Consider the following 27,849-nt stretch of genomic DNA (forward strand, 5'->3'; position numbering starts at 1 on the left):
CAGGATTTTGGAAGGCTGAGGTGGGAGGATCACCCAAGCTCAGGAGTTTGAGACCAGCCTGGGCAATATAGTGAGACCCTATCTCTGTAAAAATTCAAAAAAAAATTAGCCAGGTGTGGGGGTGCACACCTGTAGTCCCAGCTACTCAGGGGACTAAAGCAAGAGCCCAGGAGGTCAAGGCTGCAGTGAGCCCTGATCATGACACTGCACTCCAGCCTGGATGACAAGAGTGAGACCCTGTCTCAAAAAAAAAAAAAAAAGTGTGAAAGGAGGAAGAGGCTTATTCCCTATCTCTTAGGCAGTGACTCACACAAAGGCAGACGTGGCACTGGCGCTTGTCTGGACTGGCATGACATCAGCATAGGTCTCGTCCAGAGAGAGCAGCACGTTGGCAGCTTGCTGGCCCGACTCAGCAACAGCCAGCAGCCGGGGAAGGTCCCGGTAGGCATCAGGACCAGCCAAAATATCTACCATTTTCTCTCTGTTGAGAATCTCCTCCTTCAACCTCTCAGCCATGCAGCCTGGAAGGGAAAAAGAAACAAGCACCTTTCCCCAAATCCACCTGGTGTTTAATGGCTTCTTCTTATTCCACTTTATCTGTAGCTGGGATTAGAGACCAGGGCACAGAAAACTTCTCTAAGAATTGAGTATCATCCTTCAAATTTAACCAACACTCCCATCGCACTGGAGCCTGTATCTTCCTATATAAGAAAACCACAGAAAAGGGTTCCAGAGCAATTCAATTAAATGCCCAGAAAAAAATTAAACCACCAGCCAGGTGCGGTGGCTCATGGCTGTAATCCCCACACTTTGGGGGGCCGAGGCAGGCGGATCACCTGAGGTTGAGAGTTCAAGCCCAGCCTGACCAACATAGAGAAACCCTGTCTCTACTAAAAATACAAAAGTACCCAGGCATGGTGGCACATGCCTGTAATCCCAGCAACTTGGGAGGCTGAGGGACAGGAGAATCGCTTGAACCCAGGAGGCAGAGGTTGCGGTGGGCCAAGATCGCACCATTGTACTCCAGCCTGGGCAACAAGGGTGAAACTCCGTCTCAAAAAAAAAAAAAAAATTAAACCACCACCCACAAACCTTTCAAGACATGAACCATGTCTTCTTTCAACTGAAAATTACTTAGTGCTGAAATAAAAAGTATTCTGTGTCTGGAACTTACTTACCCACAACTACACTTGAACCCTTTCCCTCTCTTCTAGCCTATAATACTTGCTAAAACCTGTAAGAAATGAGTAAGCCATTTATGCTGTTATCTTCCATATCCTTAAAAAAATTATGTTATTAAAGTTATAATATCTTAAAGTCCACTTTATTACAAATACCCTTTGAAAACACTTAACAGCTATTCTTGTTTGTATGCCCATGTTCATAGCACTATTATCCACAATAGCCAAAAGGTGCAAGCAACCCAAGTGTCTATTAATGAATGAAGAGATATTTGCATCTACGCAAAGCCAGTTAAATAAATAATTTTTCAGCTCCCTCTCCCTCTCCCTCTCCCTCTCCCCCTCTCCCTCTCCCCCTCTCCCTCTCCCTCTCCCTCTCCCCCTCTCCCTCTCTCCTTCTCCCTCTCCCCACAGTCTCCGTCTCCCTCTCTTTCCACTGTCTCCCTCTCCCTCTCTTTCCACGGTCTCCCTCTGATGCCCAGCCAAAGCTGGACTGTGCTGCCGCCATCTCTGCTCACTGCAACCTCCCTGCCTGATTCTCCTGCCTCAACCTGCCGAGTGCCTGCGATTGCAGGCGCGCGCCGCCACGCCTGACTGGTTTTCGTATTTTTTTGGTGGAGACTGGGTTTCGCTGTGTTGGCCGGGCTGGTCTCCAGCTCCTAACCGGGAGTGATCTGCCAGCCTCGGCCTCCTGAGGTGCCGGGATTGCAGATGGAGTCTCGTTCACTCAGTGCTCAATGTTGCCAGGCTGGAGTGCAGTGGCGTGACCTCCGCTCGCTACAACCTCCACCTCCCAGCCGCCTGCCTTGGCCTCCCAAAGTGCCGAGATTGCAGCCTCTGCCCGGCCGCCACCCCGTCTGGGAAGTGAGGAGCATCTCTGCCTGGCCGCCCATCGTCTGGGATGTGAGGAGCCCCTCTGCCCGGCTGCCCAGTCTGGGAACTGAGGAGCGCCTCTTCCCGGCCGCCATCCCGTCTAGGAAGTGAGCAGCGTCTCTGCCCGGCCACCCATCGTCTGAGATGTGGGGAGTGCCTCTGCCCCGCTGCCCCCTCTGGGATGTGAGGAGCGCCTCTGCCCGGCCGCGACCCCGTCTGGGAGGTGAGGAGCGTCTCTGCCCGGCCGCCCCGTCTGAGAAGTGAGGAGCCCCTCCGCGCGGCAGCCGCCCCGTCTGAGAAGTGAGGAGCCCCTCCGCGCGGCAGCCGCCCCGTCTGAGAAGTGAGGAGCCCCTCCGCCCGGCAGCTGCCCCGACTGGGAAGTGAGGAGCGTCTCCGCCCAGCAGCCGCCCCGTCCGGGAGGGAGGTGGGGGTCAGCCCCCGCCCGGCCAGCCGACCCGTCAGGGAGGGAGGTGGGGGGGTCAGCCCCCGCCCGGCCAGCCGCCCCGTCCGGGAGGGAGTAGGGGGCAGCCCCCGCCCGGCCAGCCGCCCCGTCCAGGAGGTGGGGGGCGCCTCTGCCCGGCCACCCCTTCTGGGAAGTGAGGAGCCCTTCTGCCCGGCCGCCACCCCGTCTGGGAGGTGTACACAACAGCTCATTGAGAACAGACCATGATGACGATGGCGGTTTTGTTGAATAGAAAAGGGGGAAATGTGGGGAAAAGATAGAGAAATCAGATTGTTGCTGTGTCTGTGTAGAAAGAAGTAGACATAGGAGACTCCATTTTGTTCTGTACTAAGAAAAATTCTTCTGCCTTGGGAAAAAAAAATAATTTTTCAATGAACAAACAAAATGTACTACATATACACAATGGAATTTTTTTTTTTTTTTTACAACGGAGTATTACTCAGCCTTATAAAGGAAGGAAATTCTGGCCAGGTGCTATGGGTCACACCTGTAATCTCAGCACTTTGGGAGGCCAAGGAGGGTGGATCACTTGAGCCCAGGAGTTCAGGATCAGCCCTGGCAACATAGTGAGACCCACATCTCTACAAAAAATAAAAAAATTAGTCCTCGTGGAACGTGCCTGCAGTCCCAGCTACTCAGGAGGCTGAGGCAGGAGGATTGCTTGAGCCTGGGAGGTTGAGGCTGCAGTGAGCCATGATCACGCCACTGCACTCCAGCCTGGGCGACAAACTGAGACCCTGTCACCAAAAAAAAAAAAAGAAGGAAATTCTGACACAGGCTACAACAGGTAACCTCATGAACCCTGAGGACATTATGATAAGCCAAATAAGACAGTCACAAAAAAGACAAAATTGTATGGTTCCACTTACATGAGGTATCTAGAGTAGTCAGATTCATAAACAGAAAGTAGAATGGTGATTGCCAGGGGCTGAGGGAAGGAGGAATGGGGAGCGTGTGTTCAATGGATATGTAGTCTCAGTTTGGGAAGAGAAAAAAGTCCTGCAGATGGATGGTGGTGATGGGTGCAAAACAATGTGAATATACTTAGTGCCACAGAAATATACTATTAAAAAGGATTAAAATGGTAATTTCATATATATTTTACTACAGTTTTTTAAATTATTCTTGGGATTTCTGAAATTCTTATTAGATATACACCCTGAGGCTTCTACAGTGAAGGAACTGAAATGGAACAGAACATTTCAGCTGACCCTTCCATCCTCCTGCGTCAATTACTACATGGATCTGATAACTAAATATGCTCCATCTGTGTGTGGACCCATCGTTAGGAGAGATTAATTTAACTATTCCACAATGGAGATAGTCTGTTTTTCCATAATGTTAAATACATTAACTAAATTCTGAGACAGAAAAGGGTAGAGAAATGTCTCCAGTCATATAGATCAGAACTGCCCAACATAACTTTCTAATAAGATGATAGGCCTGGTGCAGTGGCTCACACCTATAATCCCAGCAATCTGGGAGATTGAGGCAAGAGGATCACACTTCAGCCCAGAAGTTCTAGACCAGCCTGGGCAATATAGCAAGACCCTGTTTCTACAAAAGGTCAAAAAATTAGCTAAGTGTGGTGGTACACACCTGTAGACCTAGCTACCCAGGAGGCTGAGGTGAGAGGATCATTTGAGCCCAGGAGTTGGAGGCTGCAGTGAGCCATGATCATGCCACTCCAGTCTGGGCAACAGTGTGAGACTCTGTTTTTAAAAAAAAAAAAAAAAAAAAAAAGGATGACAGAGTGTGCTGGATGGAAAAATAATTGCGCTGTACAAACTGGTAGCCCCTAGTCATGTGGTCATGTGTGGCTACTGAGAAGTTGAAATGTGGCTAATGGAACTAAAGAAGTGAATTTTAAATTTTATTTAATTATAGGTAAATTTAAATAGCCACATGTGGCTAGTGGTTACCATATTGGTGAGGCAGACCTAAATCTTCACTTGAGCTTGCTTCAGGAGTCAGAATGAAAGGTACCCACATTAGAAATTTGTGCTGTCAGGCCAGGCACGGTGGCTCATGCCTATAATCCCAACACTTTGGGAGGCTGAGGCAGGCGGATCACCCGAGGTCAGGAGTTCGAGACCAGCCTGACCAACATGGGGAAACCCGTCTCTACTAAAAATACAAAATTAGCCAGGCATGGTGGTGCAAGCCTGTAATCCCAGCTACTCGGGAGGCTGAGGCAGGAGAATCACTTGCACCCAGGAGGCAGAAGTTGCGGTGAGCCAAGATCTCGCCATTGCACTCCAGCCTGGACAACAAGAGTGAAACTCCATCTCAAAGAAAAAAAAAAAAGAAATTCAAGCTGTCCCTTCAGACTCCAACTCTACCCATAACTCTGTGCTACCATGAGCCGCATTAGACTCTAGGCAGGATATACCACTTTCTGAGCACCTATTACTTCAAGGAACTACGGAAAGCCCTTTCATGAACTTTATCTCATTTAATCCTGTCACCTCTGGCAGTAAGTACAAGAATTGCATGGGATATATAAGATTTCTTCAGACACTGGGAATCCAGCCTCTAAAGGAAACACTAGCAAATAAAGCCACATAAAGTCCAAGTTTCAAAGCTGACAAAATGTGCAAATTACCAGATACCTAGAATTCCAATCCTCAGAGGAACCCGGGAGCGGGGCCGCCTTGTCTTCAAGGCTTTAAGCTGATGTAAACGGTTCCAGATGGTCTGCTCAGCCTTCTCCCTAGAGAGATCAAAGGAGGCAAGACTGAACCAAAAATAAACCACAGAGGTATCTAAGAGAGTAGGTCAGTGGGAAGAAAATAAAAACCACCTTCAACCCTTTAAATCAAGCTTTTCCAACCTGCAGCCCACGGGCCACATGCAGCCAGGATGGCTTTGAATGCAGCCCAACACAAATTCATAAACTTTTGTAAAACATTAGGAGATTTTTTTGGGGGGGATTTTTTTTTTTTTTTTTTTTTTAGCTCATCAGCTATTATTAGTGTTAGTGTATCTTATGTGTGGCCCAAGACAATTCTTCTTCTTCTTCCAATGTGGCCCAGGGAAGTCAAAAGATTGGACAGCCCTGCCTTAAATGTGTATCTGCCATTCAGACTTACGGAAGGTAGGTAGGGGGCCACCTGAAGAAGCAACACTTGCTATAATTTACCTTTCCTAAAATGACATCCTTCCTACACATCTTCAAATCCTGAAAAGCCTTTAAGCCAAACTCAAAAACAATCTACTTCACAAGGCCTTCCAGTTCTCCTCTGTTGGACAGTTTGTCCTCCCTTTAACTGCCCTTCAACTTTTTTTTTTTATGATTCCAGATCCTAATGCCCTTCTACTTTAACTAGATTTTTCCCTATACTTAGCAATTTCTCCTTTTTTTTTTTTGAGATGGAGTCTCGCTTTGTCACCAGGCTGGAGTGCAACAGCGCGATCTCGGCTCACTGCAACCTCCAACTCCCTGGTTCAAGCAATTATCCTGCCTCAGCCTCCTGAGTAGCTGGGATTACAGGCGTGCACCACCACGCCTGGCTAATTTTTGTATTTTTAGTAGAGATGGGGTTTCACTATGTTGGCCAGACTGGTCTTGAACTCCTGACCTCATGATATGCCCACTCTGGCCTCCCAAAGCGCTGGGATTACAGGTGTGAGCAACCGTGCCTGGCCAGCAATTTATCTTTTATTTTTCTTTGTAGATACAGGGCTTTACTTTGTGCCCAGGCTGGTCTTGAATAGTTCACTGTAGCCTTGAACTCCTGGACTCAAGTGATCCTCCCACCTCGGACTCCAAGAGTGCTGGGATTATAGGTGTGACCTACTACACCCAGCCTCATTGTTTGATTTTTTTTGAACTAGCATTTTTTGCCAGATGTTGGAGCTATTTGTTCATCTATCTTAGTTCCCATATCAGACTAGGCTCCTTAAAGCCAGGCCATGGAAGAAGGGTTCATTTCGGAATCACCCAAAGCACATAGTTCAGTGTCAAGCAGCAGAGGCCTACAGAACAAAAATGTCAGATGAATTAATTGACAGTATAGCCGGATAGGGAAACATTAACACTAGCATGTCTTGAACACAGAAACAAAGTGAGAAAGGAGGTACGTTCACCTCTGATGGGAGTCACCCATCTCTACTCAAAACTCCCCAAGCCTATGACTACATCCTACCCCGGGCAGCTATATTATAAACATATGCCATTAGTTACAAAACAAAGCTCAGGAAGAGCTGAGTGGCTCGGCACATTCTTGGTGTCCTCATCTATAACAGCACCAACCACACAGGGTTGTTGTGATCATTAAATTTGTTAATGCATTATGTTACTCACTCAGAACCTGACACCACGGTACATGCCCAGCCAATGTCAGCCAGTTGTATAAAGACTATCTCCACTGTGGGAAAACTGCAAGTCCTACTGCCATGGGGCCACTGGCTCATCTCCATAGACAGCCAGGCCAGGCACTGTTAGCTCTGGCATTATTACATAAAATACATTCACTCCTAGGAAAAGAACAAATTCGCACCTGATAGAGCATGTGACAAGGAGAATCACATCTGCCTGAATGGAAAGAAAGGAAAACAAGGAAAATTACATAATATCTTGGATATTAGCCTTGTACAATTCCTGCCCTACAGCTCTTTATTATTTTTTTTTCCTTTTTTTTTTTTTGAGACAGAGTCTCACTCTGTTTCCCAGGCTGGAGTGCAGTGGGGCAATCTCAGCTCACTGCAACCTCCACCTCCCGAGCGGTTCAAGCAATTCTCCTGCCTCAGCCTGGGATTACAGGTGCCCACCACCACGCCCAGTTAATTTTTGTATTTTTAGTAGAGATGGGGTTTTACCATGTTAGCCAAGCTGGTCTCGAACTCCTGACCTCAAGTGATTCACCTGCCTTGGTCTCCCAAAATGCTAGGATTACAGGCATGAGCCACTACACCCGGCCTATTATTTTTCTTTAACTATTTTTTTCCTTTTTTTTTTTTTTTAATAGAGAAAGGAGTCTCGCTCACTTGCCCAGGCTGAAGAGCAATAGCATAACCATAGCTCACTGCAGCCTCAAACTCCTGTCTTCAAGCAATCCTCCTGCCTTGGCCTCCCAAAGTCCTGGGATTACAGGCATGGTGACCCACACCTGGACATTTTAACCATTTTTAAGGGTACAGTCCTGTGGCATTAAGAACATCTGCAATTTCATAACTACGCATTTTCCATAACTTTTTCATCTTCTGCAACTAAAACCCTGTACTCGTTAAACAGTAACTCTCCAACTTCCCTCTCCACAGCCAATTCTTAACTTAGCTCCTTGTCTGAAGGCGCACATCACCATAAAAGTTTCAAAAACAGCTGGAACAAAAGTACAACTCAGTCCCATGGTGAACACTTCACCCAAGGGAACTCTCTCTCACCAGGGGGCACCCTGCTCCTGAAACTACACCTAAGAACTGGCACAAATGCAGAATCTTGCCCAGGTCCAGGAAACAAAGGAAATAGGAAATGCATGTACCTCTTGGAGGTTACTGGTCCGCAGGTAGCCACTCTTCTGTAAGATGGACCAGGCTATCTCTGTGTCATTCACATTCATCTGGCAGCCATAGGTCTCGAGGTAGACTGCAGTGAGAGGTTGGGGGGAATCCATGGTAGACAGACAACAAGGGGTCTCGTGTCTCAAAAGGTCTCCTTCCCAAATGCTCTAGAAATATCTGAGGCATCTGGTTATCCACTAAGTCCCCTATTGCTTCAATCTTAAGATAACATAAATTGCCAGATGTACCCCCAAGTTAATGATAGACCTTCAGAACAAAAGAAATACCATATTAGGCTGGGCACAGTGGTTCATGCCTATAATCCCAGTACTTTGGGAGACTGAGACAGGAGGATTACTTAAGCCCAGGAGTTTGAGACCAGCCAGGGCAACATAGGGAGACCCTGTCTCTACAAAAAATTTAAAAATTAGGCAAGTGATACATGCCTGTGGTCCCAGCTACTCAGGAGGCTGAGGTAGAACTGCTCGAGCCCAGGAGACTGAGGCTGCCGTGAGCCATGATCACACCACTGCACTCAGCCTGGGCAATAGAGTGAGAACCTGTCTCAAACAAACAAAAAAATATACCACATTATATATCCACACCAATTACAAGCCATGTTATCTTTTAAATGGGGAAAACATGTACCTGAGAATCAAGGAAATATAGTTATAAAAACAATTAGAAAAGGAAGGACTAGGCCGAGGGTGGTGGCTCACGCCTGTAATCCCAGCACTTTGGGAGGCCAAGGCGGGCAGATCACTTGAGGTCAGGAGTTCGAGACCAGCCTAGCCAAAATGGTGAAACCCAGGTCTCCACTAAAAATACAAAAATCAGCCAGGTGTGGTGGCGTGCACCTGTAATCCCAGCTACTCAGGAGGCTGAGGCAGGAGAATCACTTGAAGCCAGGAGGCAGAGGTTGCAGTGAGCTGAGATCGCACCATTGTGCTCCAGCCTGGGCGACAGAGCGAGACTCAAAAAAAAACAAAAAAGAAAAGAAAAGGAAGGGCTAACTGATAGTGTTCATCAGCCTGAAGGGAAAATAAGTTTAAATCCACATGTTACACTCCTCCTCAAAATAAAGAGGTTTTCCAGCCTCTGGAAGTAGCAGCAGTGGCCAGAGGGTACATAAAGTCACAAAATTAAAATGAGGCATCTTCTTACAGTAACTTCATCTTAAATGAAAGCAAGGCTATATTATGAAGTAAAACTAATTTTGTACACAGTTGTAAGAATATGAATTTCACATTCTGGCAGCTTCAAACTATATTCCAAGATCAACCCCCGTCCCCACCAGCAGGTCTTATTTCCAGACTCCAATAAATTCCAACTAAAAGTTAAGAGCTGAATGATAATCAGCTTTTGATCAAATGATTCTCCCACCTCAGCCTCCTGAGTAGCTAGGACTACAGGTGCACACTATCATACCTGGCTAATTTTTTATTTTTTGTAGAGACAGTGTTTCACCATGTTACCCAGACTGTTCTTGAACTCCTGGGCTCAAGCAATCCACCCATCTTGGCCTCCCAAAGTGCTGGGATTACAGGCATGAGCCACCGTGACCAGTCGAGTTTCTTGATATTAATATTACTTGGTGGAGTCTAATGATTCCCACAGCCTTCCCACACTGTTAACCTTCCAAGCCAGTTCTGTAATAAAAGAATCATGCCAGGAATGACAGAGAGGAGCAAGGCAGGAAGCCCAAAGGGATAAGCGAAGTAAAACCAACCTTTTCTCTGCCTTCCAAGAAGTTCATCCATCATGAGATAGGGAGGTGGGTCTTCCACTTCTGAAGACAGCTTCTCCTGAGGAGCTGAGGCACTTTTTAAAAAATGTTGAAAAGTCGGTCCAGCAGCCAGCCTGGAGCTGAAATCCTTCCGAGCTCCATCCTCCTGCCTCTCTGGACTGGGACACATGGTACTAGAGAGACTGCTGTGTGCCCTGCACATCCTCAGCGACAGCCAAGACACAGAGGCCAATGGTCCCCACCCCAGAGACCTCTGCACTTGGAGGACACACTGTAAAGGGTGCATGGCACTAAACAGCCCACAGTCTGCAAAAGAATGACAGACATCACCAGCATTTATTGAACACTATGGACAGGACACTGCTGTGAGCACTTCAAGTGTATACATCTATTTACCCCTCACAAAAGCCCATGAAGAAGGTACTCCTAATAATATGACCTCTGTTTTACAGTTGAAAAAAACTGAGGCAACTTGCCCAAGACCACACAAAGGAGTGCCAGAGATGAGATGCAAATCCAGGCAGTCTTTTCAAAACAAGGGGTGGTAGAGATGAGATGGAAAGCCCTGACAAAATGACAAAATAGCACCTTGTGCCAAGACCAGTTCCCAAGGCTTTAAGTGTATTAACTCATTAAATCTTTACAGCAATCCTAGGAAGCAGATACTATTATTGTTCCTATTCCGAAAGACATAGGTTGAGGAACTCACCTAAGCTCCTACAGCCAGTAAGCAGTCAAACAAGGACTCAGATAAAAATCTGTATGGATGCAAAGCCCGTGCCACTACCCATCTTGCTACACTGCCTCTTAATAAAGTGAAAACCACTCACTGTCTGAGGGCATCTTCCTTTGAGTTCCTTCAGAAGGAAAGCAACTAATGTGAGGGCATTGTATGCCCGATCAGTGACTCCTTCTACCCTTCAAGAGTCTTGGCTGGATGCAGCCGCTCATGCCTGTAATCCCAGGACTTTGGGAGGCCGAGGCAGGAGGATCACTTGAGGTCAGGAGTTCAAGACCAGCCTGACCAACATGGCAAAACCCCATTTCTACTAAAAATACAAAAGTTAGCCAGATGTGGTAGCAAGTGCCTATAGTCCCAACTACTCAGGAGGCTGAGACAGGAGAATCACTGGAACCCAGGAAGCAGAAGTTGCTATGAACCGAGATCGCACCACTGCACTACAGTTTGGACAACAGAGCGAAACTCCATCTCAAAACAAAAAAAAAAGAGTTTCAAACTACTACCTTCAAACTTTCCACCCAGACCCTCTCACACTTGGCTTAGCAAATAACACAACCTTTATAGAGAACAATTTGCCACTTTCCATCAAAATTACAAGTGTGCAAACCATCTGACAAAGCATTTCCACTCATAATTATCCTGCAGATAAATCTATACACATACAAAATGACCTATGTATAAAGACATTCAGTCTAGGCACAGTGGCTCATGCCTGTAATCCCAGCACTTTGGGACGCTGAGGCTGGTGGATCACTTCAGGCCAGGAGTTCGAGACCAGCCTGGCCAACACAGTGAAACCTCATCTCTACTAAAAATACAAAAAATTAGCTGGATGTGGTGGCACACACCTGTATTCTAAGATACCCGGGAGACTGAGGCATGAGAATCTCTTGAGCTCAGGAGGAGAAGGTTGCAGTGAGCCAAGATCACGCCACTGCACTCTAGCCTGGGCAACAGAGTGAGACTGTCTCAAAAAATAAAAATAAAAGATATTCAATGCAACAGTGTTTCTAATAGCAAAGGAAAGGGAAAGATCTAAATGTTATCAATAAAGGACTAGTTAAGTAAGTTCTGGTGCATCCATACAATGAAACAAGATACAACTGTTAGAAACCAAGGCTGGTGGCCGGGTGCAGTGGCTCATGCCTATAATCCCAGCATTTTGGGAAGCTGAGACAGAAACATCACTTGAGCCAGGAATTCGAGACCAGCCTGGGCAACATAGTGAGACCTCATCTCTATAAAAATAACAAAAAATAGCCGAGCACAGTGATGCACACCTGTAGTCCCAGCTACTCAGGAGGTTGAGATGAAAGGATTGCTTGAGCCCAGGAGATCAATGCTGCAGTAAGCCATAATCGCACCACTGCACTCCAGCCTGGGTGACAGAGTAAGACCCTATCTCAAAAAAATAAAAATAAAAATAAATGAGGCTGAACCTATACATGACAAAGGCAAGGAAGCAATATGCTCCATGCTACCTACATTATACTACTGTTGAATCTGTGGGGAAAGAGGGTGGGAATATTGAGGTACCTATTTGCAGGTACATACAATATCTCTAGAATGCATAAGAAACAATAGTTGCCTCCCAGGAAGACTTAGGTGACTAAGGTATAGGAGATGAAGCCATACTATTTACTTTTTTTTTTTTTAATTTTCTGACTAAGGAAGAATTCTAGGATCACCATATATTTTTACTGGACCCCACATCTATGGCCTACTACACTCCAGCCATGCCACACTTCTTTGTATTAATCTTCACTAGCTTATAGGATTTTACACATGCTGTTCTCTGGCTGGTATTTATCTTCTCTCTAGTGGCCTATGGTACTTTCAGCTTTCTTCCTCTGGGAAGCCTGCTCTGGCCATCACCCCCGAAGTCTAGGTGGGGTCCTCCTCTGGGTTCCCAAAGCTCTATTCTATCTCTCCATCACAAGACTCATCACACTTTGCTGTTAATTATTACTGACACTTCTGCCAGCCCTAGTAAACTGGCAGGTTCCTGCAAGCAGGGAACAAGTATCATTCATTTCTACACCTTCACCATCTCCCATTGTGGTAGCTGCCTCACGGCAGGTGCTAAACATCAGTGGTTCCCAACCTTTTTGGTACTAGGAATTGGTTTCATGGAAGACAATTTTTCCACAGACATGGAAGCAGGGGTGTGTTGAAACTGTTCCACCTCAGGCATTTAGATTCTTACAAGGAGCATGCAATCTTGAGCCAGTGCGGTGGCTGACATCTATAATCCCAGCACTTTGGGAGGCCGAGGCAGGCGGATTGTTTGAGCTCAGGAGTTCGAGACCAGCCTGGGCAACATGGCAAGACCATGTTTATTTGTTGTCTCTACAACAAATTAAAAAATAAAAAATTAGCCAGCCATTGTGGTATGTGCCTGTAATCCCAGCAACTTGGGAAGCTGAGGTAGGAGGATCACTTGAGCCAGGGAGGCAGAGATTGCAGTGAGCTGAGATTGCGCCACCACACTCCAGCCTGGGCAACAGAGAGAGAGAGAACTTGTCTCAAAAAAAAGGAAATGGAATGCACAAACTAGATGCCTTGCATATACGCAGTTCACAATAGGGTTTGTGTTCCTGAGAAACTAATTCCGTGGCCAATCTGACGGGAGGCAGAGCTCAGGCAGTAATGCCAGCTTTGCTGCTCACCTCCTGCTGTGCAACCCGGTTCCTCACAGGCCACAGACAGGTACCATTCTACCACCTAGGGTTAGGGGAACCCTGCTATACACGTGTAAAGAGCAGATGTGGCCCATTACCTTTCCAATGAGATGACCTGCCACATCTGCTACTAGCACTTAGGAGCAATGCCAACCCAGTTTCAAGAGTCAGAGAAGAACAGCCTTAAAGTGTGAACTTTAAAATCGCCCCTTTCTACTCCATAATTGCTGTGTGACCTTTGGCAAGACAAATTTCTGTCTCTGAGCCGCCAATTCCACATGTGTAAAATAAGGATAAAAGCAGCACCTACCACCCCATAAGTGTTATTAAGAATAAGATATTAAAAACCCAACTTGAGATACAGTAAGCGTTCACTAACTGCACATTTACAGCCCACACCCCCTTTCACAGAGAGTATTAGAGCATCCTGGTTAAGAGTATGAACTCCACTAAAAATACAAAACTTAGCCGGGTGTGGTGGTATGCGCCTGTAATCCTAGCTACCCAGGAGGCTGAGGCAGGAGAATCGCTGGAACTCGCGGGGCAGGGGCTACAGTGAGCCGAGATCGCGTCACTGCACTCCAGCCTGGGCGACAGAGCAAGACTCCCGTCTCAAGAAAAAAAAAGTATGGACCCTGGAGTCAGAATCTGACCCCACTGCTGCCAAGCCAGCTAAACCTTAGGCACCTGTCTTAAACTCTGGGAGCCTCTAGATGGGGATAATAGCACCTATCTCCATAAGCCTACCGTAGGATCAAATGCAATAATACAAGCAAAATGCTTTGCATAACGCAATGTAGAAGCCTCTCTGGAGGCTCGAAATTAATTCTGACAGTCGGCAATGAGGCTGGAACAACAGCGTACAACATCCCAAACATTTTATTGGCTGGTTACAATGCGTTAGGCATGGTGCAAAGCATTTTCCGCGAATTATTACCTATAACCCTCATAGCAACCCTGTGAGGCAGGCTGTACTGTCAACCCCACTTCACGGGTGGCGAAGCGAAGCCTTGAAAGAAGTGGAGGTGACCTGTCCAAGGTCACACGGGGTTAGGCGGCGGGGTTAGGGTACGAACCCCTACAGCCTGACGCCAGGCCCCACGCCATAACCACCGTGCCATCCTCCCTCTTGAACACCGTGCGCTTCCCGGGATCCGCGGCCCCTCCTGCCCCAGGCGCCAGTCAAAAGCGGGTGCGCAGCCCACCCCGGCGGCCGCGCTGCTCACCTCCCGCAGCAGCAACAGTGCCCGGGGTCCCGCAGCGTAAGTTCTGCCGGCAAGTCGGATCCCCTCACAGGTCCGCCGCTGCGTTCATACACAAGCGACTTCCGTTCCGCCGCTACTTCAGGCCGGGTCATGCTAACGGAAGTGCTTCCTTTTTACAGTCCGGGTGGACCCAAAGCTCCGTGGCGGTGCTGAACTTTAGGGCAGCCACTAGCCACGGACTTAAGCGGCAATTGAGCTCCTCAAAGTGGGTGAGTGCAAATCAAATGTGCGCTAAATGTCAGATACACTGGATGTGGAAGAAGAAATGTCAAATAGTGTCAAATAGTTCATATATATAATGTTTATATTGATTATGTGCTGCAATAATTGTTGGGATATATTGGATTAAATAAGTACATTTGTTGAATTAGTTTTTTTTATTTGTAGCTATGGTGGTAGAAATATTTGAATTAAGTTCACCTGTTGTTTCTTTTTACTTTTTCAATGTGGCTAGCAGGGGGAAAAATAATATGGTGTGATCATGGCTCACTGCAGCTTCCGCCTCCCATGCTAAAGCAATCCTCCCACCTCACACTCCCAAGTGGCTGGGACTACAGGCAGGCGCCACCACGCCCAGCTAAAATTTTTTTAATTTTTTTGTAGAGACCGGTCTCCCCATGTTGCCCAGGCTGGTCTCAAACTCCTACCTAGGCGCAAGCCATCCTCCCACCTTGGCCTCCCAAAGTGCTGGGATTGTAGGCATGAGCCACCGTGTCCGGTCCTTACTGGGAAATTTTAAGTCACCTAAGAGGTTCACGCTCTATTTCTATTGGAGGGTGCTGCCCTGTAGGTTAATGACTTCCTGATTCACATCTCCAGCTGGACCCTCCCTGCAGTACCAGAGCCATAGCTCAGCTGCCTACTTGACACCCCTTCTTGAGTGTCTGATGACCATCTCTAACTTATACAGAACTCTTCATTTCCACACATGCACCTTCACCAAAAACCTGTACCTGTCATTCTGGCCCATCTCAGTAAATGGCCCAACCATCCTTCCAGGTGCACTAGGAGGAACTGAATGGTCATTTTCTTCACCTCCCTGGATCCCCACATTCTATCTGTCAGTAAGCCCTGTCAACTCTAACTCCAAAATGTCAAATCTGTCTACTCGGTAGCTACAACTACCCAGGCCACCATTGTCTCATCAGAAACAATCACAGTAGCCTGCTAATGGTCACCTTGTCTCCTGAGAACAGTTTCCCACACATAGCCTAAGGGAATTTGTGTTTGTTTTATTAAATCAAATTATATCACCCCTCTCCTGAAAACTCTCCGTGGCAGGCCGGGCGTGGTGGCTCACATCTGTAATCCCAGCACTTTGGGAGGCCAAGATGGGCAGATTGCTTGAGCCCAGGAGTTCTAGACTAGCCTGAGCAACATGATAAAACCCCATCTCTACAAAAAACACAAAAATTACCCCGGCATGGTGGTGGGTACCTGTGGTCCCAGCTACTCAGAAGGCTGAGGCAGGGAGGATTGCTTGAGCCAGGGAAGTTGAGGCGGCAGTGAACCATGACCTCAACACTGCACTCCAGCCTGGGTACCAGAATGAGACCATGTCTTGAAAAAGAAAAAAACAAAAACAGCCGGGCACGGTGGCTTATGCCTGTAATCCCAGCACTTTGGGAGGCTGAGGTGGGTGGATCATGAGGTCAGGAATTCGAGACCAGCCTGGCCAATATGGTAAAACCCCGTCTCTACTAAAAATAAAAAATAAAAAATAGCTGGGCATGGTGCCGCGTGCCTGTAGTCCCAGCTACTCGGGAGGCTGAGGCAGGACAATTGCTTGAACCCAGGAAGCGGAGATTGCAGTGAGCCAAGATCGAGCCACTGCACTCCAGCCTGGGCGACAGAGCAAGACTCCATCTCAAAAAAAAAAAAAAAAAGAAAAGAAAAGAAAAAAACAAAAACAAAAAGCTTAAGAGCTTTCCATTGCCCGTGCAATAAAATCCAGATTTCCTACTGTATCCTAGGGGCCTGCATGATGTGGCCCCTGCTTTTTTTTTTTGAGACGACGTCTCACTCACTCTGTCGCCCAGGCTGGAGTGCAGTAGTGCAATCTCGGCTCACTGCAACATCCGCCTCCCAGGTTAAAGCGACTCTCCTGCCTCAGCCTCCCGAGTAGCTGGGATTACAGGCGTGCACCACCACGTCAAACTAATTTTTGTATTTTTAGTAGAGCAGGGTTTCACCATGTTGGCCAGATTGGTCTCAAACTCCTGGCCTCAAGTGATCCGCCCACCTCGACCTCCTAAAGTGCTAGGATTAGAGGCGAGCACCACCACGCCCGGCTGATTTTTGTTTTTACTAGAGATGGGTTTTCGCCATGTTGGCCAGGCTGGTCTCAAACTCCTGGCCTCAAGTGATCCTCCCACCTCAGCCTGCCAAAGTGCTGGAATTACAAGCATGAGCCACCATGTCTGGCCCCCTGCTTACTTTTACTTCTCCAACCCATGTACTTCTTACCACTTACTTCTCCTACTGTGTTCTTTCTAGTTGACTATACTTCAACTACATAATTTTATCTTGCTCCTTCAATAACCCAAGCAAATGTTTATTTCAGACCCTCTGTCCTTTTTTTTTTTTCTTTTCTTTTTTGAGACGGAGTCTTGCTCTGTTACCCAGGCTGGAGTGCAATGGCGTGATGTTGGCTCACTACAACCTCCACCTCTCGGGTTCAAGCAATTATCCTGCCACAGCCTCCCAAGTAGCTAGGATTACAGGCACGCAACACCATGCCCACAGAGCTTCTCTTCTTACTATTATCTTTCTGGAATGCTCTTCTCCAAAATTGTTTCGTGGCTGGCCCCTTCTCATCCTTTAGGTCTCAGCATAAATATCAGCTCTTCAGAGAGACCCTCTCTGACCACTTCATATAAACTACTCTATCACTTCTCTTATTATTTTCTTCACCATATTTGTCACTATTCAAAATGTTGGCATTACTTATTTTCTTATCATTGCCTATTCCCTGGACTATCAGCTAGGGAGGGACACGTCGTGTCTTGTTCATGGCTTTATCCCCATGATCTACACAGGGTCTGACTCATAGAAGGGCTTAATGAAAATTTGTTGAATGAATAAATGACTGCTTTCTGTCTTAGTTTGGGCTCCCCAGAAGCAGACCTGAGACAAGTATTTTTTTTTTTTTAGACCAAGTCTCACTCTGTTACACAGGCTGGAGTGTAGTGGCCCAATCTTGGCTCACTGCAACCTCCACCACCCGGGTTCAAGCGATTCTCCTGCCTCAGCCTCCTGAGTAACTGGGATTACAGGCAAGCGCCACCACACCCGGCTAATTTTTGTATTTTTAGTAGAAACAGGGTTTCACCATATTGGCCAGACTGGTCTCTAACTCCCCACCTGCGGTGATCCACCCACCTTGGCCTCCCAAAGTGCTGGGATTACAGGCATGAGCTACTGTGCCCGGCTACTGAGACAAGTATTTGAGTGCAGGTAGTTGATTTGCAAAGTAATCTCAGGAAACACTGGTAGGGTAGTAGGGGAGTGAAACAGGGAGGGGAGACAGCCAATAAACATTGTTAACAAGCAACTTTCTTGCAGGCATCTAGGTCTTAATCCTGCTGGAGAACACTGGGAAATAATGCAGAACACTGTGCTGGTTAATTATTTGTGTCAACTTGACTGGGCCACAGGTTGCCCAGATATCTAGTTAAACGTTATTTCTGGGTGTTTCTTGAGGAAGAGATTAGCTTTGGTGGACTGAGTAGAGTAGACTACCCTCCACAATCTGGATGGACATCATCTAACCCCTTGGGGACCCAAATAGGACAGGAAGACAGAGCAAGGTTGAATTCTCTGTCTGCCTGACTGCTTAAGCTGAGACATTGGTCTTCTCCTGCCCTTGGACTGGGACTTAAACACCATTGGCACTCCTGATTCTCAGTCTTTTAGATTCAAACTGGAATTTACACCACCACCTTTCCTCGGTGTGCAGCTTGCAGATGGCAAATTGTAGGACTTCTCAGCCTCTATAATCACTTGATCCAATTCCTTATGATAAATCTCATTCTAGATGTAGAAATATACATATAGTGGCCAGGCACAGTGGCTCATATCTGTAATCCCAGCACTTTGGGAGGCCAAGGTGGGAAGATCACTGGAGGTCAGGAGTTCGAGACCAGCCTGGCCAACATGGTGAAACCACATCTCTAATAAAAATGCAAAAATTATGGCCAGGCGCAGTGGCTCACACCTGTAATCCCAGCACTTTAGGAAGCCGAGGCAGGCGGATCACCTGAGGTCAGGAGTTCAAGACCAGCCTGGCCAACATGGTGAAACCCCCGTCTCTACTAAAAATACAAAAAAATTAGCCGGGCATGGTGGCGAGCGCCTGTAATCCCAGCTGCTCAGGAGGCTGAGGCAAGAGAATTGCTTGAGGCCAAGACAGGAGGATTGCTTGAGTTCAGGAGTGTGAGACCAGCCTGAGTAACATGGCAAGACCCCATCTCTACAACAAATTAAAAAATAAAAAATTAGCCAGCCATGGTGGCACAGTCCTATAGTCTTAGCAACTTGGGAGGCTGAGGTAGGAGGATCACTTGAGCCTGGGAGGCCGAGACTGCAGTAAGCTGGGATCCCGCAACTGCACTCCAGCCTGGGCAACAAAGCGAGACCCCACCTCCAAAACAAAAAATAGGGCGGAGGGTGGTGTTCCAAGTGAAGGCACCAGACTGCTGATGGCCAGAAGGAAAAGGAGTGAGTCTTTGGTGGTTTGGGATGTTGCTGAAAATTTAGTGGATAAGCTGAGAAAATTTCATTTTCACAAAGAAACAATGCTACCATTGTAAGTAAGCTAAAAGTGATTGCCTCAAAGTTAAGTTACCTGGTCTCTCTTTTTTTTTTTTTTGAGACAGAGTCACGCTCTGGGGCCCAGGCCGGAGTGCAGTAGCGCAATCTCTGCTCGCTGCAAACTCCACCTCCAGGGTTCAAATGATTCTCCTGTCTCAGCCTCCCGAGTAGCTGAGATTACAAGTGCACACCACCATATCTGGCTAATTTGTTGTTGTTGTTGTTTGTTTTGTTTGTTTTTTTGAGACCGAGTCTCACTCTGTTACCCAGGCTGGAGTGCAGTGGCCGCGATCTCAGCTCACCGCAACCTTCACCTCCCAGGTTCAAGCAATTCTCCTGCCTCAGCCTCCTGAGTAGCTGGGATTACAGGCAGGTGCCACCATGCCCGGCTAATTTTTGTATTTTTAGTAGCAACAGGGTTTCACCATGTTGGCCAGGCTGGTCTTGAACTCCTGACCTCAGGTGATCCGCCCACCTCAGCCTCCCAGAGTGCTGGGATTACAGGCATGAGCCATCACACCAGGCACATCATCTTTGTTTTATCTTGTCGCTACATTAAAGAAACTGAACCTTTCAAAAGTTTAAAAAAAAAAAAGTTCTGGGCTTGGCACGGTGTCCTAGCACTTTGGGAAGCTGATGCAGGAGGATCACTTGAGGTCAGGAGTTTAAAACCAGCCTGGCCAACATGGTGAAACCCTATCTCTACTAAAAATACAAAACATTAGTGGGGCATGGTGGTGGGCGCCTGTAATCCCAGCTACTCAGGAGGCTGAGGCAGGAGAATCGCTTGAACCGGGAGGTGGATGTTGCAGTGAGATGAGACCCTGCCTGGGTGACAGAGCAAGACTCCGTCTCAAAAAAAAAAAAGTTCTCCATCATTGCCATTGTCATTGTGATTTTAGGTAGGGAGTCATAACCACTGCCCACTCACATCCAGCCAGCACATCGCAGTTTCCGAAGTACCAAACACATTCCACTCCACCTCCCTTCTGCAGGAAAGGGTCCTGAAGCTCTCTAAGATGGCTTTGACATGGGTCCACAAATTCTTTGACATTCCTTTCTTCAAGAGGTGGAGCCTAATTCCCCTCCCTTTGAGTGTGGACTGAACTTAGTGACTCATTTCTAATGAATAGAACAAAGCAGAAGCAACAGTGTAAGGCTTCCAAGACCGGGTCATAAGAGGCACTGTTTGTGGCTTCCTCCTTGCCCTCTCTTCTGTCTCACTGTGGGGAAAGCCAACTGCCATATCATGAGAAAACTCAAGCAGCAGCTCTAGGGTTAGCCCTACATGGTGAGGAACTGAGACCTCCTACCCACAGCCATGTGCATGAGCAGTATTGGAATGGATCCTCCAGCCCCAGTCAAGCCTTCAGATGACTGCAGCCCTAGCCGACAACTTGACTGCAACCTCATGAGCGACCCTGAGACAAGAACAGCCCAGCTTAGCCCCTCTCAAATTTCTGACCCACAGAACCTAAGAGATAATGAATATTTGTCATTTTAAGCTGCAAATTTTGGATAATTTGTCACACAACAATAGATAACCAATACACTGTCTTTGGCCCATGTAGTAAAGGTCTGTTCTTCTCCAGGGAAAGGTGCCCTAGTCCTTGGTCTGGTCCATCTTGGGACTGCAGGGGCCACCCCAGGACCCAAAGGCCAAGGCACAGACCACATACACTGGGCCGGGCTGCCTGTGTGCTCACAGGCTGTTTATTTATCCAAGAGTAAGGAGGAGAGAGACAGGATGAAGAGAAAAACCAGACTCCCCACGGTGGCAGGGCTGAGGGGAAAAACAAACAGAAAATCTCCTCTTCTTTCTCTTGCTGCTGACCCCAGGGTACTCCAGCTTCAGATGGGACCTCTGGGGGTGGCTTAGGGGCCTCGAGGAGGCCCGGCAGCTCAGCTGTTGGCTGGGGTCAGGATCCGCACAGGGGCAGGTCCCAGACTCGGAATGGCTTCTGTGTACACAAAATATCTCTCTGCAAAAGGCACTGGTGGAGGGGGGCAGCAGGAAGGCCACCCCATCACAGGCAGAGTCCACTCTGTCCTGCGTCTGGGTCCTGGGCCCCAAGACCAATCCAGTCTCCCTCAGGGTTGGGGTTTCGGAGGCCCTTGTTCCTCTCCTCTCCCTTCCCTCAGCCCAGGGGTGAGCAGGCAGTCGGTGGAGGCCCAGCTCAGGCCATGTCATGGACACCCCTCTTCAGGGCTAGTGCATCCGGCGACTTCTAGGCCAACAGCCCGAGGCGGGTGACTTTGGCCGACAGGAAGGAGTGGATGATGAAGACTATGGTTTTGGGACACGAGTGCAGGTCCAGCTGCTGGAGGGTGGATGGAGAGAAGAGTCAGGGCCCTGGCCAGCCTGGCCTCCGAGAGTGCACACCCCCTCCTCCCCAGGGTGCAGAGGCAGCCCCTCACTCACGATCTCGCCTTCAGCACCTCCAAAATCCAGGAAAAGGAGACTGGCACCGTCATCTGAAGACATCTGCAGCTTCTCGAAGGGCTGTCGCAGGAGCACAGCTCGGGCTGCACCTGGCTCAGCCGCCCACAGTGTGAAGCCCTTGTCGATGTGCACAGACAGGCTGCAGGGACGCCCATTCCACGTGCAGGCTGCAGGGAGGGCACATAGGTACAGGCACAGCTGGCACCTCAGAGACTACACCCCAACCTCCAACCCCCACCGCAGCTTACAAAGTGGGGCCTGAATGCCTCCAGGGATGGGAGGCTCACTGTTTGTCGTGGCACCAGTACACCCACCCTGCAGAGAGTCATCACCCCCACCCTCAGAGGACCTACACCCACTTCCAGTCCCACTTCCAGCAGCACAAGTAGAAAGGGGGAGCTTAAAATGTGCCATGGACAGGAGGCTCACTGCTGATAAAGGCATCATCAGATCTACCAAGCACCGCCCTTGGAGACCTGCAGAGTTACCCGGCTAAATTTAAATTTCAGATAAACAATGACTAATTTGGGCATACTTCTGTGAAAAAAGTATTCATTGTTAACCTGAAATTCAAATGAGGCTGGGTGTCCTGTATTTATTTCCTCTGGCAACCCTACCCCAAGTGCCATCTCTCACATCCTCACCAGCAGATTGACAAAACTGGGGCAAGAAAACCCCAGGGAGAAGAGTCTCTGCCTGCTAGGGCACCTGCACATCCAAAACAGAGGGCCCAAACCCAACTTCCTTTTTTTTTTGGAGAAACAGTCTCACTCTGTTACCCAGGCTGGAGTGCAGTGGGCGCAATCTCGGCTCACCACAACCTCCATCTCCCGGGTTCAAGTGATTCTCGTGCCTCAGCTTCCTGCGTAGCTGGGACTACAGGCACCTAGTACCATGCCCGGCTAATTTTTGTATTATTATTTTTTTTTTTTGAGACAGTCTTGCTCTGTCGCCCAGGCTGGAGTGCAGTGGCACAATCTGGGCCCACTACAACCTCCACCTCCCAGATTCAAACAATTCTGCCTCAGCCTCCCGAGTAGCTAGGACTACAGGCGCCCACCACCATGCCCGGCTAATTTTTGTATTTTTAGTAGAGACAGGGTTTCACCATTTTGGCCAGGCTGGTCTCAAACTGCTGACCTCAAGTGATCCACCCGCCTCAGCCTCCCAAAGTGCTGCGATTACAGGCGTGAGCCACCGCACCTGGCCAATTTTTGTATTATTAGTAGAGACAGGGTTTTGCCATGTTTGCCAGACTGGTCTCAAACTTCTGACCTCAGGTGATCCACCCACCTTGACCTCCAAACCCCATTTTCTATCCCCTCCTGAAGTGCCCTAAAGAAGGAAGCTTGAATGCCCCTGGGGATAAGAGGCTTATTACCAGAGGGACACTCCCAGATCCTCCCAGCACACCTGTAGACACCTCCTGCACACCCTCGGCGGCCCGGTGACAGCCATCCACAAGCTGGCGGGTCCAGGCAGCCAGCTCCTGCGGTGACTCCACGCTGAACAGGTGAGTGTCCACACCGTGACGCGTGCCCGTGCGCAGGGCAAAAGAGAGCTCTGCATCGTAGGGCACTGAGCCCTTGGAGGGGCCTGAGTGCACCAGTCTGGGGGTTGGGGGCAGAGGGCTGAGCATGAGGCCTCAGGCCGGAGGCAAATAGTTCTGGGCAAAGGGGCCAGTGACCTGGGAAGAAACCCTGTAAATCCTTTACCACCTAACAGGACAGGACTTGCCAGGGGGCACTGATTGACTCAGCAGGAGACATCTCCTGCCACCCTCCCCGTCACTCCCTTGGCTCTGGCTATACTGGTGTCATCACACACACCTAGCACATGCCTGCCTCAGCACCTTTGCATATGCTCTTCCCTCTGCCTATACATGCTTCCCTGATTATCTGCACGGCTCACTCCCTCACTTCCTTCAGATGTTAGTTTAAATGTCACCTCCTCTGAGAAGCCTTCCCTGACCTCCCAGTCCAAAATAGCACCCTTGTCACTCACTAGCCTTACTTTTTAATCATGGTACCAGAAATTATACTTTTTATTATTTGTTTTCGTTGGTTTTTGACTGTCTTTTTCACTAGAATGTCAACTAGGTTAGAAATTTTGATCTTGTGTTCACCACTGTATTCCCAGTAACTAAAACCATGCCTGCCCACAGTAGGTGCTCAGTAAACTTTTGTTGCCTAACTTGAATCACTTGATTAGGCAGACAGTCCAGGACCTAGTTATCCCTAGTAGCCAGCAGGCTCCTGACACACGGGCCAGAGCCAGCCTGAGGTAAGGAGACATGGGGGACAAGGACTTCAGACCCCTGCAGCTTGACTCTCACTTGCTGTGTGGCCTTGGTAAGCCAACTGCCCCTCTCTGGGGCAGAAAGTTCTGCCCCATATCCCTCTTTGTTCCTCCCTCCACCCACTCTTTCTCCTATAGCTCAGTTCCCCCCGCCACAGACTGCTGCTGACACCCGCCTTCGACTTTCCAGCCCTGAGCTGCAGACCCTCGAGTCCCCAGGCTTCCTATCCAAGCTCCCTCTCCATCCCACACACACTCTGGACTTAACTCAGCATCTTGCTCCAGCCTCCTCCCTTTCCACCCCCACCCCCAGTCCCACGCTCACCCAGACACAAGCTCCAAACCTCCTGTTCATTCCGGACCCCTCCTTCACCCGCCCCATCTGGCAAGCACGGAGCCCTGTTAATTTTACACCCATGTGGTTTCCAATGCCAATGCTGCCTTTCTTCCCCATCTGCTCCTGCCACCCACCTCCACCTCCCCCAGCCACCATCATCTCTCCTGCATGACTGCAGCACCTCCCCACTTCCATCCTGCACTCTCCGCTGCATTCTCCACGTGGCAGCCACAGGGATTCTCTTAAAGCAACCAGAGCACCTCGCTCCCCAGCTTAAACCCTTCAACACTACCAAACTCTTAAGCTAAAGCTAACATTCCTTAATCAGGCAATAGAAGCTCTTCAAGATCAGGCCCTGCCAACTCCCTTCTCTCCATTTCCTGCATGAATTCTGGTTATCACAAACTCATAGCTCCATGAACATGCTATAGCCCTTCATGCCTCTGTACTTTTGACCATGATGTTCTCTCTGCATGGGATGCTCTTTCACCCTTTCTTAAACAGAAAACTTCTACTCATCCATCAAAGTCCAGCTCAAATGTCACCTCCTCCCTGAAGCCTTCCTCTACTACCCCAACAGAGTTAAGTGGCTCCTACAAACCCTGCACTGTAATGGCTGTTCCTGGGTCTGTCTCCCCAGCCAGACAAGGTTCTCTCTGGAGGCAGAAACTGTTGGGGTCAGCTCTGTGCCCTCTGAACCATGCAGCACAAGGCATAAGTGTCAGCGAATGAGTGGCTAATGGGGACCTTATATCCTTTTGTTCCAAGCACCCATTTTACAGATGAGGAAACTGAGGCCCAGACAGGGCAGAGACTTGCTTCAGGTCACCTGGGGAATAGCTGAGGGTGGACAGGGCTGGAGTTCCCAGCTTCTGGGGCCCTGCTGGAGCATCTCCTGGCAAGTTCTGGGGGAGACATACTGCCCCTGCCTGTGGGTACCTGGTGGCGATGAGTGGGGCAGTACGGGCTGGCCGGCTCAGGGCCTCGCGGGTCTCGGGGAGAGACAAGTAGAGGAGCAGTTCCTTTTCAGTTAGCAGGGCCAGGGTGGGGGCTGTGCCCCCACTGGGCAGCTGCAGAGAACAAAACAGCAGTGAGGATGGGTGGGGGAAGAGAGGGCAGAGGGCCAGGGCAGGGTGAGGTGGCCAGGGGCACTGGGAACAGGGCCAGCTCCAAAGGAGCGGAAGAGAGAGAGGGATAGGTCCCAGGCCCAGCAGGTACCTGCTCAGTTAGCCAGCCAATCTGCTTGATGTCCTGGCTCCCAGCTGTGCTGGTGGCTGCCAACAGTGCCTGCAGCTCATCCTTGACCCGCGGCGTCAGAGTATTGACCTGGGCTTGGATGGCAGTCGCCCACGACCTCGCACTAGCCTCATCCTTGGCCCTCAGGAAGAGGGTGTCTTGACCATCTGCCGAGCAGATCTCCAGATACCTGCAGGCACAAATGGGTGGAGACAAGGACCTGACCATTAGGCTGCAGCTGCCCAACCCTGGCCCAAGAAACCCCACCCACCACCAAACCAGGAGAAACCAGGGGGATGTCCGTGAGAGAATCAGGAGCAACCCTCACTGCTGGGCTCCAGCCACAGTTGCTGGGGCTTCATGGGGCATAGGAACAAGCGAGTGTGACATATACACACGTGTTCATATATTTTGTGGGGTTTTTGTTGTTGTTTTTGAAACAGAGCCTCGCTCTGTCACCCAGGCTGCACTGCAATGGCCCAACCTCTGCCTCCCAGGTTCAAGTGATTCTCCTGCCTCAGCCTCCCAAGTAGCTGGGATTACAGGCACACGCCACCACACCCATATAATTTTTGTATTTTTAATAGAGATGGGGTTTCACCATGTTGGCCAGGATGGTCTCGATCTCCTGACCCCGTGATCCGCCTGCCTCAGCCTCCCAAAGTGCTGGGATTACAGGCATGAGCCACCATGCCTGGCCTTATTTTTTTATTTTTAGTAGAGATGGGGTTTCACCAAGTTGGCCAGGCTGGTCTCGAACTCCTGACCTCAAATGATCACCCCGCCTTCGCCCTCCAAAGTGCTGGGATTACAGGCATGAGCCACCGTGCCCAGCCTACACGTATGCAGATACACACAAATATACACACACACTGAAACATGCATGATGGTGTAATAGGGCCTAAATTATTGCTGTGTGGCTATTCCTAATCTTGCCCCTTTCTCCTGGTTTCTAAGGAACATCCTCTTCTGGGCCAGCTCCCAGGTTCTCCTTGTTGCACAGAACCAAACTAATTCACTAATAAGAGCAGGGGAAAAAAAAAAAAAAAACTAAGCTGGACATGGTGGCTCACGCCTGTAATCCCAGAACTTCGGGAGACTGAGCCAGGACGATGGCTTGAGCCCAGGAGTTCGAGACCAGCCTGGACAACAAAGTGAGACACTCATCTCTAAAAAAGAAAAAAAAATTTTTTTTTTAATTAGCCAGGCATGGTGACACGTGCCTATAGTCCCAGCTACTTAGAGGCTGAGGCAGGAGAACCACTTGAGCCCAGGAGTTTGAGGCTGCAGTAAGCTATAAGGGTGCCAGTGCACTCCAGCCTAGATGACAGCACAAGACCTCATCTTAAAAAAACAGAAAAACAGACAGGGTGTGATGGCTCACGCCTGTAATCCCAGCACTTTGGGAAGCCAAAGCGGGTGGATCACCTGAGGTAGGGAGTTCAAGACCAGCCTGATCAACATGGAGAAACCCCATCTCTACTAAAAATACAAAATTAGCTGGGTGTGGTGGCACATGCCTGTAATCCCAGCTACTAGGGAGGCTGAGGCAGGAGAATCGCTTGAACCCAGAAAGTGGAGGTTGTAGTGAGCTGAGATCGTGCCATTGCACTCCAGCCTGGGCAACAAAAGCGAAACTCCGTCTCAAAAACCAAAAAAAAAAAAAAAAAAAAAAAAAAACAGAAAAACAAAACAACAACAAAACTAAAGAGGCTTGAGGCCAGGCATGGTGGCTCACACCTGTAATCCCAGCACTTTGGGAAGCTGAGCCGGGCAGATCACTTGAGGCCAGGAGTTCAAAACCAACCTAGCCAACAGGGCAAAACCCCATCTCCTCTAAAAACACAAAAAATTAGCCAGACGTCATGGCGGGCACCTGTGGTCCCAGCTACTTGGGAGGCTGAGGCACCAGAATCACTTGAACCTGGGAAGCAGAGGTTGCAGTGAGCTGAGATCACACCACTGCACTCCAGCCTGGGTGACAGAGCGAGATCCCCCATCTCAAAAAGAAATAATAAATTATTGTTTTCTAAACCACTAAATTTTAGGGTTGGTTTGTGATACAGCAACAGATAGCCAAAATACTAGCAGAAAAGACTCTTTGGCTTTTGTCTTATTTCTGCCTGGAATATGAACACAATTCTTGGGATGCAGCCACCATCCTGCCTCCACGAAGAAGAAAACCGCCCATAATTAAAATGGTAGAGCAGGAAGCTAGAAGCCTAGTTCCTTGATGGCATCCTTGAGCATCTACAGCAGCCTGAATAGC

General features: G+C 48.7%; 2 protein-coding genes and 1 long non-coding RNA gene across 22 annotated transcripts in view, besides 2 other annotated features; 1 reads left to right on the plus strand and 2 right to left on the minus strand.

Annotated features, from left to right (window-relative positions):
• CDK5RAP1 (CDK5RAP1 mitochondrial tRNA methylthiotransferase) overlaps positions 1 to 14,557 on the minus strand; it is a 42,731-nt gene extending 28,174 nt beyond the window's left edge. For 3 of the 15 annotated variants that reach the window (NM_001365728.1, XM_047440195.1, XM_047440197.1), the window contains exons 1-6: positions 14,416 to 14,557; positions 9,749 to 10,072; positions 8,001 to 8,104; positions 7,020 to 7,054; positions 5,130 to 5,230; positions 311 to 521 (exon numbers count right to left, since the gene is read on the minus strand). In NM_001365728.1, the coding sequence (NP_001352657.1) occupies positions 311 to 521; positions 5,130 to 5,230; positions 7,020 to 7,054; positions 8,001 to 8,104; positions 9,749 to 10,052 (755 nt within the window). In that variant the 5' untranslated portion in view covers positions 10,053 to 10,072; positions 14,416 to 14,557. Of the gene's footprint in view, positions 1 to 310; positions 522 to 5,122; positions 5,231 to 7,019; positions 7,055 to 8,000; positions 8,105 to 9,748; positions 10,073 to 14,415 lie in introns of those variants that run through there. The other 12 variants (NM_001278168.2, NM_001278167.2, NM_016408.4 and 9 more) reach the window with 10 other exon arrangements.
• Positions 14,218 to 14,307: an enhancer, noted in NCBI's record as "active region_17729". NCBI's record gives its function as "activates an Ori minimal core promoter by ATAC-STARR-seq in GM12878 lymphoblastoid cells {active_cell/tissue: GM12878}" and the evidence as "EXISTENCE:reporter gene assay evidence [ECO:0000049][PMID:35858748]".
• Positions 14,448 to 14,647: an enhancer, noted in NCBI's record as "active region_17730". NCBI's record gives its function as "activates an Ori minimal core promoter by ATAC-STARR-seq in GM12878 lymphoblastoid cells {active_cell/tissue: GM12878}" and the evidence as "EXISTENCE:reporter gene assay evidence [ECO:0000049][PMID:35858748]".
• On the plus strand, positions 14,570 to 27,622 carry LOC124904889 (uncharacterized). Its single transcript, XR_007067567.1, has 2 exons — positions 14,570 to 14,663; positions 23,041 to 27,622. It is a non-coding gene; the product is annotated as an uncharacterized LOC124904889 (long non-coding RNA).
• SNTA1 (syntrophin alpha 1) overlaps positions 20,945 to 27,849 on the minus strand; it is a 35,807-nt gene continuing 28,902 nt past the window's right edge. For 2 of the 6 annotated variants that reach the window (NM_003098.3, XM_024451971.2), the window contains exons 4-8: positions 25,563 to 25,770; positions 25,284 to 25,414; positions 23,123 to 23,319; positions 21,689 to 21,876; positions 20,945 to 21,587 (exon numbers count right to left, since the gene is read on the minus strand). In NM_003098.3, coding sequence (NP_003089.1) covers positions 21,495 to 21,587; positions 21,689 to 21,876; positions 23,123 to 23,319; positions 25,284 to 25,414; positions 25,563 to 25,770 — 817 coding nt within the window. In that variant the 3' untranslated portion in view covers positions 20,945 to 21,494. Of the gene's footprint in view, positions 21,588 to 21,688; positions 21,877 to 23,090; positions 23,320 to 25,173; positions 25,415 to 25,562; positions 25,771 to 27,849 lie in introns of all 6 variants that reach the window. The other 4 variants (NM_001424413.1, XM_011529008.2, NM_001424414.1 and 1 more) reach the window with 4 other exon arrangements.

This window comes from Homo sapiens, chromosome 20, assembly GCF_000001405.40.
Source record: "Homo sapiens chromosome 20, GRCh38.p14 Primary Assembly".
Classification (NCBI taxonomy): Eukaryota; Metazoa; Chordata; class Mammalia; order Primates; family Hominidae; genus Homo; species Homo sapiens.